Here is a 12453-nt window from a genome sequence, read left to right on the forward strand (position 1 = left end):
GAACAGGGTTGGCTTTTCTTGTTCCTAAAATTAGGAAGAACCTCCTGCTCCTACTGAAGTGCCTGCCACATAGTGGACATTCCCTGAACTCTGAGTAAAGCAAAACACTTTCAGATGGATGGATTGCATTGACGAATGGGAGTGGGAGAGGGTCAAGGAAATGGGGTGCCCTGTACGCAGGGCTTTCTCTGTGCTTTCTTCTCAGTTTGGCCAGGGGCCCAAAAGAAACACAGCTCACATTTCAATGCTCTGCAAGGAATCACTTTGGCAAATGTTCACACATGAGAAAGGTTAAGCAAACTCTTTCTCCTTCTCCACTGTAAAATGTCCTTGGATCAACTCTCCAGCTCTATTTCTTTGGAAGTCAATGTCCACAGGGTGGGGGTGGGGGACAGGTTGTTGACTGGGTACCAGGCAATCCTGCTCACCATGAAAGCGATTCCTTGTTAGTAGAGGGAGTGTGGACTGGGCGACCCAGGAATGGACCATCCCCACACTGGAAGGAAGCTACTCTGGCAGCGCCGCTCTGTAATGCTTTCTTAAGATCATGGCTATGTCAATCAAGAGTGCCTCCCTGGAGGGAGGGAGAGCCCAGACAACATCTACTGGACCAGTTTCCAGAGGCTTCAAGGTCACCACACTTATATGCAGTCTTTGTCTCCCTTGGCTCAGCCCACTCCTCCTCTGCAGGGCTGCTGCAGTGAAGGGAACCACATTTCAAAGAGTCATCCAGGACAGAGGTGAGTTCCCTCCCGATGTTGCCATCAGAGACCACACCGCAGGACACCTCCTCACCTCTCCCGAATCTGTCCTGTCCATCCCCACTGCTATTGCTGGAGTGCAGGTGCTGATTTCCTCCGAATGTTATCCCTGTCCCCAGGCTTATACTTATACAACCCAGCTGCCACCTGATTTTCCCAAGACACACCAACCTGCTCAGAAGCCTCCAGGGAGGATTCCAGAAGGCACCCTTGAATCCTAAGAATGAGGCCCAGACCCCCCCTCCCCACCCAGCCCCAGTCCCCTGTGCACCCCTCCTCCCATGTGCTGACTCCCATCCCCTTCCTTAATCACGTGTCCCTCAGCCTCCAGTGACTTCCCCAAGAGGCAAGGATGTTCCCAGTCAGCTTAGCATCACCCTGTCTAGGAAGCTGCTGCAGAGCCTGCCGTGGTCTCCTTCTTGCTGACATTGCTTCCAAAAGAAACCTTCTCCTACAGCCCCACTTTTATGTGCTTTCATCCCTCCACCCCACTACCCCTCCTGGGGAGCAGAAGCCTGTTATTTTTTATCTTACACTCCTGGTGCCAGGCATTGACCCTGACCCTCAGTACTCACATCATAAATGTCTGTGAAGCTGGACTGAATTAAGTAAGTCAAGCTCAGTTGGAGCAGTTTGGGAACAATGAATTGAGGAGGTGGTCCTCAGTCTGAGAACTCAGGGTTCCCAGGGTTTGGGGAGCTGGCACACAACATACTCCCTGCACATGTTTGGAATCAGTTCTGTGCCAGACGATGCAGGAGTCAGTGCCATGGAGCCAGACGTGGAGCTTCATTGCCAGCAGCAGTGCTGGAGGATGCTGCTAAGGGGCATCACAGCTGAGCACCTCAGACTCACCCCAGAGTAGTCACTTGCCCATCCAGCCATGGCCTGTCCGGGATGGCTGCAGGTCTCCCTTACCGAACACAAAGAAGAAGGTGTGGTGGAGGGACCCAGGGACTTCCTCTTCATCTGATTACCTGTTTCCACTGAATTCCCGATCTGCCCATACTTGAGCCCCATGTCTGCCTTCTTCTCTTTGCTGCTTGAGATGGGGAACACCACCCTTTCCTCAAATTCCCATGGACATCACACGTCACTGTCCTGGATGGTACTGAGTTTCGGGTTAGAGATATCGCATTGCAGTTCAGCCCAGCCAACAATGGGAAATCAGTGAAACAAATGACAGCCCTCGGCCCAAATCTGGCCCACCACCTGTTTTGTACAGCTGTGAGCTAAGAAGGGTGTTTACATTTCCAAATGGTTGAAAAAATCAGAAGAAAAATAACATTTCATCTTCACACATGAAAACTGCATGAAATTCAGAATTCAGTGCTCATGAAGTTCTAGGGGACACAGCCTTGCACACCACTTACAATCTTATCCATAGTGGCCTTTGTCTATGCGGCAAAGGTGAGATAAGTAGCTGGGACATCTACCATATAGTCTGCTGAGCCCAGGTTTTCTGCTCTCTGGTCTTAAAACTCCTACTCCAGGACATCCCAGGTCCTGCATTTCCCAGCTGCTCTCCTTGCTTTCCCCAAGGCAGGCCCCAGCCGGCCACGGCAACCCCTTGCTCTCTTTCCTTCAAGTCCAGCCCCTTCTCCTCCAGCCTTCTCCATACCTACAGGGTCCCCTGCTTGGTTCAGCAGATGGATCTCACCATCCTTGCTCTCTGAGGTGGGGGCAGGGCATCACCTTTTCAGCCTGCAAATAAATCTGAGCATATCTATGAATAAAGTAAGGAATTCTGCCAGCAGCTTTTCACATAGCACATTTCTCCCCTGGACATCAGGAATGCAGAAAGCAGGGCCCAGGGTGAGACATTCTCAGAGCATCGTAGCCAAGCACCTTTCTTCCTGCAAGCCCCCAAATATTCCATAGCTGTACCCAGCCAGTTTATGATTTACACTCACAACTTAAAAAAAAAATAAAAAAGAACTCGTTTTTCGTTCTTTTTTTCTTTTTTTTTCTTTTTCTTTTTTTTTTTTTTTTTTTGAGACAGAATCTCTGTTGCCCAGGCTGGAGTGCAGTGGCTCGATCTCGGCTCACTACAAACTCCACCTCATGGTTCAACTGATTTTCCAGCTAATTTTTGTATTTTTAGTAGAGACAGGGTTTCACCATGTTGGCCAGGTTGGTCTTGAACTCCTGACCTCAAGTGATCCACCCACTTTGGCCTCCCAAAGTGCTAGGATTACAGGAGTGAGCCACCACACCCAGCCAATATTTTATTTATCTAAAAGCACTGGATGGAAAATTGATGATATGTCTGATGCAAGGAAGATAAATTGGGAGTGAAATTCTGTAAAAAGCAAGCAAAGTGCTGTACACACATAAACAGAGATGGCAACTCTGGGAAAGAAAAAAGGCAGGCTGTAGAAATCACCTAAAATGCTCAGTGTCCACAAGTGATACAAAAGTTCATTAAAATGGTAAGAACAATCAAACCACATGTAATAAAAAGGCAGACATGACAACCTAAGAAAGCATCTAGTGTTTGACGCTGAGGAGCACCTTGCATGGCCAGTTACTCTCATCCTCCCTCAGCTCTCACCTCTGCTTCTCCACCTACTGTTCCACCTTGGCCAGGTACTGCCTGTAGTCTTCTTGGCAGGCCCCAGCCCTGCCTCTCTGGAGCAGCTGGGCATCCAGGAAGAGGTTATTGCTGTAGAAGGAGCCCTCTCGCTCCCTCCCCAGCCTCTCGATCGCAGCCAGGAGCTCTGCCTGCTGCTGCCTCTGCTCCTCCCCGGCAGCCCGGTTGTTGAAGGCACAGTACCTTCTCTCACATTCCTGCACCAGGTCCTTCAGGCTGAGGTTGTCCATGTTTGCTACATAGTCATCCAGGGCCTGGCTCCCTAAGTCCCCTTTGTGGGTGAAGAGGATGACCACATGTCTCATGACCCTGCCCCAAAAACCTCCTTCACCTTCCTGATGGCCACTGTGTCCTGAGCAGTGAAACGCCCAGCTGGATCACCAGAAGCAGCACATGGGGCCCGAGGGCAGAGAGCAGGTAGCAGTCCCCGATGTTCTTGTACAGCTCTTGAGTCTGGACCTTGGACTCAAAGATGGAGAGCGTGTCGACCACCAGGACTTTCCTCCCATTCCATGTTCCTGTCTCCACCTGGCATGTCCTGGTTACTGACTGGGCCCCCAGCTTGCACTCAAACACAGGCTGGCCAAGGATGCTGTTCCCTGTGGTGCTTTTCCCACAGCCTGTTTTGCCCACCAGGAGGATCAGCAGCAGCAGTGATCCTGGAGCCAACCTGCCTTCTCCTCAGCCTGTGAGAGCGGGTGAAGAGTGAGGGTATAAAAACTGCATTCTGAGGAGGAGGTGCCAAAAGACAGAAGGCAAAGGCATCCAGAGGCACTGGCACCCTGGGTCAGTGAGGACCCCATAGCCCCGCTCCCATCACCTGACCCCAAGTACAGAGAATAGAGGGACTCACACAGTGTTTGTGGGATTACCCAGCTGGCCAGAGCTCCAGGGCTCTTTCCCTTTGGGACTGCTGAGCTCTGCCCCTTTCTGGCCTTCCCTCGATGCACTTCCCACCCTGAGGGCCTGGGCTGGGGCTGGCAGGAGGCCGTTTCCTCGGCCACTGCAAGGTCTGTCTCATGTTTTCTTCCTCTCCCATCCCTGGCTCATCTCGATTTTTCACGATCACAGAGTTTTATTTGGAAAATCTTGTCCTCACTGAAAAGAAGATGGCAGCTAACAGCTTAATATGCTGTATTTCTGGGGGGGAAATGTGTTTTCCTTGTCGTAGGTGAATATAGTCTTGTGCCTTTCACTGCCAGGTGGGAAGTTTGCCCCCGAGTTCTGATTCTACAACCCTTGATCTTTGTAAGAACTTCACCAAGTGCAGTTCCCTTGCCTGTGCAGAAGGTACCTTCTCCACCCATTCGAAGCCCTTCTATTTTGTCCTAGAGGGGAAACCATACATGGATTGTTCACACTGGAGGCGGATGTGATATCCAACACAAAGCATCACATTTTACAGATGAGGAAATTGGGGCAAGAAAAGAAAACCCTGCTGAGGTCACACATTACTTAAGGGATGAGCTGAGACTAACACCAGGTCTGCTGACTTCAGATATTCTCAGCAGTAGCCTGGACTTCCTGCTGAAGAACATACAGACAGCCCCAAAATGCACCACATGCTTGCATTTCCCAGCACCTGTATTTAACATACAGACAGCTCCAAAATGCACCACATGCCTACGTTTCCCAGCACCTATTTAACATACAGGCAGCTCCAAAATGCACCACATGCCTGCGTTTCCCAGCACCTGTATTTAGCTAATGGGAGGCAGTGAATGGAAGGCAGGGAAGGCTGATGGATGCTGTCCACTCAGATCAAGAAAGTCAGCAGTTATTTCCAACTGAACATCTGGCTGTCATGGGTTCTTGTCCACTTTTAGGGTCTCAGGGCTGGTACCCAAACTAAAGTGTGCCCGGCAAAGCATCCACTTTCAATAAACTCACAAAAGAAATTCTCCCCTACGTTTCCATGGTGATGGTGGTACAAAGGGTGACCAACCATCCTGGTTGGCCCAGGTCTGAGAGGATTCCCTGATTGAAGGACTTTCAGTGCTGAACTGGGAAAGTCCCAGACACACCAGGATGGGTTGTTTACCCCAAGAGTAGGAGATTGTCATGGGTCCAGGTTAGGGGTGGGGAGTAGGGGCGTGTACATCCAGTAATTGGAGAGAAGAACTGATTTGTCGGGCTCAGATCAATGCCTTATGCTGCAGAGGAGGATGGGTGCTTCCCTATTCCTACCTCAAACAGACTCGGACCTCGCTACCCCAGGGGCACTTCTCATCAAGCCCCCTCACCTCCTTGCATTGTTCCCTCCATACCTTTCCTTCTACCTCCTACGTCCAGTGCTCGGGTAGAAAATCCACCCAGGCCCCACAGAAGAATAACTTCTCAGGCTTCGCTACTATGAAAAACCCATACAACCCATTCCAGAGCAACATGAGGACCTTGCTGTGTGCAAAGTTTCAGTGAGTTGCCTTGTAACAGGCTCAAGGCATTAATGCTAAAAAGTGAGTCTCTAATTGCAGAATTGCAGAGCCTATGCCAGGTCAATTGAAAAAATACTTTTTGGACTGATGTCATGGTGCTTTAGGGGAAGAAGTTGGTGTTCCACGGGGCGTTGGTACTGAAGATGTGGTCCGGGTCACCCCTAGCTCTTTCCTACCCACCCAACTCTCCCGCGCCCACCTTTTCCCTCTCTCCTCTAGCACAATGAAGCATGCAGGCCTGGGTGAAGGAATACCTCCTGACAACTCCGGGAATGATGGCTATGCTAATAATGGGTATAGTGCCCGTGAAGAAGAAAATGAGACACTCACTGAAAATCTGAGAAGCAAAGTAACTGCTATAAAATCTTTTTCCATTGAAATAGGCCATGAAGTTAAAACCCAAAATAAATTATTAGCTGTAATGGATTCACAATTTGATTCTACAACTGGATTTCTAGGTAAAACTATGGGCAAACTGGAGATTTTATCCATAAGGAGCCAAACAAAGCTGCTGTGCTCTGCAATGCTGTTTCATTTATTTGTCTTTTTTTTGTCATTTATTGGATTAGTAAACTGAGGTGATGCAAGTAATTGTGAAGTTGGAATTTGTTCCAACTTAATGGCTTGGTGTACAACTTTGATAAAAATCGGCACCAAAACATTCCTAGTTTTCAAACGCTATGGCATTTTCCATTGAAAATTGCTGCATTTTGCTTGTTTTATAAATCACATTAGATAATACAGTGCTCTTTGAATATTGTCTGTTTTTTATTTTTCTTTTTAAGTTCTGAGGTACATGTGCAGGATGTGCAGGTTTGTTACATGGGTAAATGTGTGCCATGGTGGTTTGCTGAACCTATCAACCCATCACCATGCCGCTTAATAGCCCGGCATGAATTAGCTATTCTTCTTGATGCTCTCCCTCCCCCCACCCCACCCTCCCCTGACAGGCCCCAGTGTGTGTTAGTCCCCTCCCTATGTCTGTGTGTTCTCATTGTTCAGCTCCCACTTACAAGTGAGAACATGTGGTGTTTGGTTTTCTGTTCCTGCATTAGTTTGCTGAAGATAATGGCTTCCAGCTTCATCCATATACCTGCAAAGGACACGATCTAATTGCTTTTTATGACTGCATAGTATTCCATGGTGTATATGTACCACGTTTTCTTTATCCAGTCTATCATTGATCAGCTTTTGGGTTGATTGAATACTGTTTCTTGATGACTCATTTTGCCCCCTGTCTTCAGGGGCAATGAGACTGTATGGCTCCACCAATTTCCAAGTTGCTTTTCTATTGTTTGCTAACTGTCAGATTAAATAGCATTGTCATGTTCTGTTGTTATCATAAATGTAGGTTTATGTCCCATGTAAGGAAACTTCTAGTGAGAGAGTAACAGAATGCCTGAAGAGCCTGACTGTAGTTCTAGAAGTAGTCAACCAGTCTGTGATAGAATGGTAACTGAATTTTCCTAACTGCATCAACTGTGATGATGTACTCCTGTTTCCTCCTTTATTTAGTTAAAATCATAGACTGATTTCTTTTTACCTATAATCTTACTAATAATTTTTGATGATAGTGACCCATCACTTCTCTCTGCCCAAAGAACTCATTCTTTAAGTAATGCTTGTTATGTTGGCATAGTTCTAATAGGGACCAATGCACATGTGTATCCGTATAGTTATTGTTTTATATTAACTTTATAAATTCTGTTGACTTGGCTTATAATAGTTTTATGATTTTTACTATATCGGTAGGACTATATATATATTATCATTTGTGACAGAATAATGTGAAGTTAAGTAATTACTAAACTCTAAATGGAAATAGTATTCAAGAAACTCAAGCACTGAACTTGAATATAAGAGTATTGTTGCTTTAATCCAGTGTATTTGTTTATGGAAAGAAAAACACAAAGGCAGACTCGAATAAAAAGGAACATTAAAATATTCTTTAAAACTCTGTATTACTACTATTTTGGAATTTACCCGTTTATAGGCTCCAAAAATAAATTTTCAAATAAAATATTTTTATGAAGAAAAAAGTTTTTGGAATAAATGGATTTTCTAATGTTCCTTGGGATCATGCTACATAAGATGGTATCTAGCTCCCTGCCCCCCAACAGAGACACAGTTAAATTGGCCAGTGATTACTTTAGCAGGGAAAATAAATTAATAAATAAATAATTTTGGAAACATTTTCATGTAAGTACTAAATGTCAAAACTCACTTTCTATGAGGTAACTATTTAGTAATTTCTTTGTAAGTGGCTCTGAGGATATTTTTAGCACCAGTACTGCCTCCTAGAATCTCTCTGTTCTTTAGCCAGGTCCCAAGGAAGCTAATCTAATCTGGTTGCAAAGTCTGTCCCACAGTACGCACAATTCAAATAAGAGTTATCCACCCACAGCTCTGGTGACACAACTCAAGCCTTGCTTTTACACCCAAGCAAGTGCTGATGTTTTGGATAGAAACCAAAGCACTTTCTGTCATCCTGCAATCCGTGAGAGGGCCCTTCAAACTGAGTGTGATGGTCATTCTTATGTGTCACTTAGCAAGGCCATAGTACCCAATGATCTAACCAAACACTAATCCAGGTGTTGCTGTGAGGGTATTTTGCAGATGTGGTTAATGTGAAGTAACAATTACCTTCCAGAACATAGAGGGAAATCATCCAGGCAGTTGAAAGTCTTAAGACAATAACCGATTTCCCAGAAAAGGAATTCCACCTCAAGACTGCAGTGTCTACTCCTGGCTGAGTGTCCAGCCTGCCCACCTGTACTACAGATTTTGGACATACCAGACCCCGAAATCACATGAGCCAATTTCTAGATATAAATCTCTTAATAGATATATATCTCTTAATAGATATATTCTGTTTCCCTGGAGAAACCTGGCCAATAGTCAAAACTGATTATTGCTACTGATACTCAGAGAAAGAGCAAACCTGAACATAAATCTCATCTTTTTGGCCAGGCGCAGTGGCTCATGCCTGTAATCCCAGCATTTTGGGAGGCCGAGGTGGGTGGATCACCTGAAGACAGGAGATCGAGACCAGCCTGGCCAACATGGTGAAACCCTTTCTCTACTAAAAATACAAAAATTACCCAGGTATGGTGGCGCATGCCTGTAATCCCAGCTACTCAGGAGGCTGAGGTGGGAGAATCGCTTGAACCCAGGAGGCGGAGTTTGCAGTGAGCCGAGATTGCACCACTGCACTCCAGCCTGGGTGACACAGTGAGACTCTGTCTCAAAAAAAAAAAAAAAAAAAAACTCATCTTTCCAAGGATGATTCTTTTCTTTTCAAGAATGATATTGGGGTGGACATTTTTTAAAGATGTGATTGCATGAGGGGGAAGGCAAATGGGAAAACCAACCATTTTTTCACTCCATCTTGCTGCAATGCTGATGGTTTAGAACTCAAGACTCTCTGTTTTCTCATGTGCTGCCCCTGGATTGTCTTGAACGGTGGTCTCCACAGGAGCCGGTAAGGAGGGGCTCCTGAGCATCAGAGGAAAACAGGTGGCACTGGTAGGTGCCTGGAAAGGTGTGTGAGGAGAAGATAAGGCGATGCTGAAAGAGCTGCAGAGGGGTAGGTGGACTTGGAAGCGGATATTCCTACACTGGGGGAGGCCAGGGACCTGGCAAACTTGGCGGTCTTGTAATACCATCTACCCCTTTTAACTACCAGGGAACTAAGATTTCCAGGGTTTCCTAAAGCAGCAGTGACATGAGGCCAAGTCTGCACCCGAGATTGAGGGGGTGAAAGGATATTAAAGGGAGAAGGCAGCTTTTTCAGGTGTTTCAGGGCAAACTGAGTGCCTGTAGGGCCTGAATCTGTGGCTGCCCCTGTGTGCTGAGAGGGATCAGCCCTCCGGGAAAACATGCAGCAAAGCTATTCACGTGCTGTGTTTGGCCAAGAGATTGGTGGCGGGCCATTTCCTCCGAGAAGGAGAACCTGAAATTGCTACTGTCTCGGAATCCAGCCTGAACAGAAAGAGAAGTGAAAAGGGTGCTTCTCAGAAACATCAGGATTGTTCTCATTTGCCTCAATTATTTTATTGAGGAGTTTTTCCTCTCCAGTCACAGTGCTATCCCTCTAGCCCAAACCACCACTACAGAGAACCCCACCCAAGTGCCACACCAGCCCTCTGGACAGCACTATCATCGCTCCCCTCCAAAAAAAAAAAAAAAAAGCCTATTCTGGGCTGGCCATCAACTCACCTCACTCATCTTATATCCATCAATCCTTCCATTAATTCATTTTAAAATGGTATTAAATGTCTCACACATGGAATATGGTTGGACCAGTTTAACCTGTCCAGGCACAGTGGCTAATGCCTGTAATCCCAGCACTTTAGGAGGGAGGCCGAGACTGGAGGATCACCTGAGCCCAGGAGTTCAAGACCAGCCCTGGCCACATGGTAAAACCCCATCTCTACCAAAAAAAAAAAAAAAAATTAGCCTGGCACAGTGGTTCATGCCTATAGTCTCAGCGACTAAGGAGGCTGATGTAGGAGGATCACTTGAACCCAGGAGGCCAAAGTTGCAGTGAGTCATGATTGTGTCACTGCACTCCAGCCTGGGTGACAGAGTGAGACCCTGTCTCAAAAAGAAAGAAAGAAAAAGAAAGGAAGGAAGGAAGGAAGGAGGGAAGGAAAGGAAGGAAGGAAGGAAGGAAGGAAGGAAGGAAGGAAGGAAGGAAGGAAGGAAGGAAGGAAGGGGAGCAGCTCATGCCTCAAACTGGGAGAGCATCATCTCTAAGCTAATGAGAGTAAAGAATGGTTCCCTCCACTATGAGGGACATGGTGGAGAAGGGGAAGGTGGAGACCCCCACTGGAAAAACTGTGAAATGCTCTGAAACTAGTGGTTGACCTTGGACAGATTATCTTACTCTCATTTGCCAAAAGTAGCAATAATATTCTCTCTACTTCCCTCACTGGAGTTTCCAAAAGATAAATGGCATGCTGATTAGAAAAACATAACGTGCAGTTGTGAGGATCTGCCAGTTAGAGGGTTATGAGTCAGGGTAACTGCCTAGTAATAAAGCCCTTGCCATCTATGACTTCATTCTTGTGGACAGTGGAGTTTTAACTACTTCTATATATATATATAAACCACACTAAGCCAAGAATTTACTAACAGGGAAAATTATTGGGGCAAAAGGTGAGGAGTATAGGGGAACTCTCAGTATTTTTCATTCCCATTTTTCTGTAACTCTAAAACTGCTTTGAAAAATATATACATAAACGTAACTGTATATATATACATACAGTTATATATATATTTATATATTATATATTTATATATATTATATATACATATATATATAATATATATATATATATATATATATATATAACTGCAGATCATCTTGAGTCCTATTCCTGAAATCTTTCTCCCCTCTTTAAGATGGAAACTACTTCCATCAAGTGGAGTGGTATAGTCAACAACAAAAGGCAATGGGAATAAAATGAGATTGAAATCAAAAGATGAATTTTCAGCCTGTCCTTCAAAGACTATCCCCTACCTTCTGTGGAAGACCAGGGTGGGGGAAGGATGTTCAGGTGATCTTTCCTTGCCCTGCAATTTGTGGGGAAGCCATATGTGTACCCACATAGAGGGTGCAGCAGCCACTATGTGCATATATGAAAATGCTCTTGCACAAACACAAGAAATGAGCTCATCAGTATCACCATAGGGGTACCATCTGAGCTCATTCTATTCCAGACTTTAGGTTCTTAAAAATATAATATCAGTCATATTTTCAGTTAGCACATATCTGGGACTTTAGGGTATATGATTTTTTCTCCTAATTCAGGAATAAAGAAACTGAGGTTTAGAAAGATCAAGTGTCTTGTCCACGCTGGCACAGACTGTTACTGGTAGAACTGGGGGGTCGGGGTGGGGGAGAGAAGAGAAAATGAAAGAAAACAAAACAAGCCTTGTTATCTGCCAGGTCCTGGAATTTCTTGCAAGGTCTACAGATGGCCTAGGAGCAACCCTCCCTCTCCTAGGCAGTCTCTCTCACTGTCTTATAGGCTCTTTATAAAAACACAAGAGCAATGAGACATGATGAACCTGGCCACAAATTTGGTCTGCTAGAGAGAGAGAGAGAGAGAGAGAGAGGGACCATATCCCTGGGGACAGGAAAATAACAATGTGTGTGGGTTTCCGTACAAAGCCGCCCTCAGAGGGTGACTCAAGGCCCTGAGAGACAGCCAGGGTAAGAAGCTGTTTGTAAAACAGCTCTGCTTCCTTTTTCCCACCACACCTCTGTGATGCTTTTGTGCAAAACAAACTTTTTACCAGAATTAGCAGGAGCACTGAGACCCGGAAAAGCCACTAAACATCTGAATATGGCTGCATCCCAGGGAAGGCCAACAGCTGCCTGTTACTGGCCCAGGCTGGACATATACACATCTCCCAGCCACCATCTGCAGTGCGCCATAAAGAGAGTTTCTTATTTTTGTTGTTTTTTTTTTTGAGAAATGGGGTCTCCCTATGTTGCCCAGGCTAGTCTTGAACTCCTGAGCTCAAGTGATACACCTGCTTCAGCCTCCCAAAGTGCTGGGATTATAGGCATGAGCCTGGCCAAGAGAGTTTCCTATATTGAATTCTAGATGGCAGTGAGGACTGAACCCAAGGGCACTCTCCAGGTTCCACTGCA

At 45.9% G+C, this 12453-nt stretch overlaps 2 pseudogenes, besides 2 other annotated features; one reads left to right on the forward strand and one right to left on the reverse strand.

Annotated features, from left to right (window-relative positions):
• On the reverse strand, window positions 3202-4008 carry GIMAP3P (GTPase, IMAP family member 3 pseudogene; annotated as a pseudogene).
• BET1P1 (Bet1 golgi vesicular membrane trafficking protein pseudogene 1) lies at window positions 5873-7815 on the forward strand (annotated as a pseudogene).
• Window positions 11871-11920: a silencer, noted in NCBI's record as "silent region_18782". NCBI's record gives its function as "represses an Ori minimal core promoter by ATAC-STARR-seq in GM12878 lymphoblastoid cells {active_cell/tissue: GM12878}" and the evidence as "EXISTENCE:reporter gene assay evidence [ECO:0000049][PMID:35858748]".
• Window positions 11961-12020: a silencer, noted in NCBI's record as "silent region_18783". NCBI's record gives its function as "represses an Ori minimal core promoter by ATAC-STARR-seq in GM12878 lymphoblastoid cells {active_cell/tissue: GM12878}" and the evidence as "EXISTENCE:reporter gene assay evidence [ECO:0000049][PMID:35858748]".

This window comes from Homo sapiens, chromosome 7 (assembly GCF_000001405.40).
Source record: "Homo sapiens chromosome 7, GRCh38.p14 Primary Assembly".
In the NCBI taxonomy this organism is placed as follows: domain Eukaryota; kingdom Metazoa; phylum Chordata; class Mammalia; order Primates; family Hominidae; genus Homo; species Homo sapiens.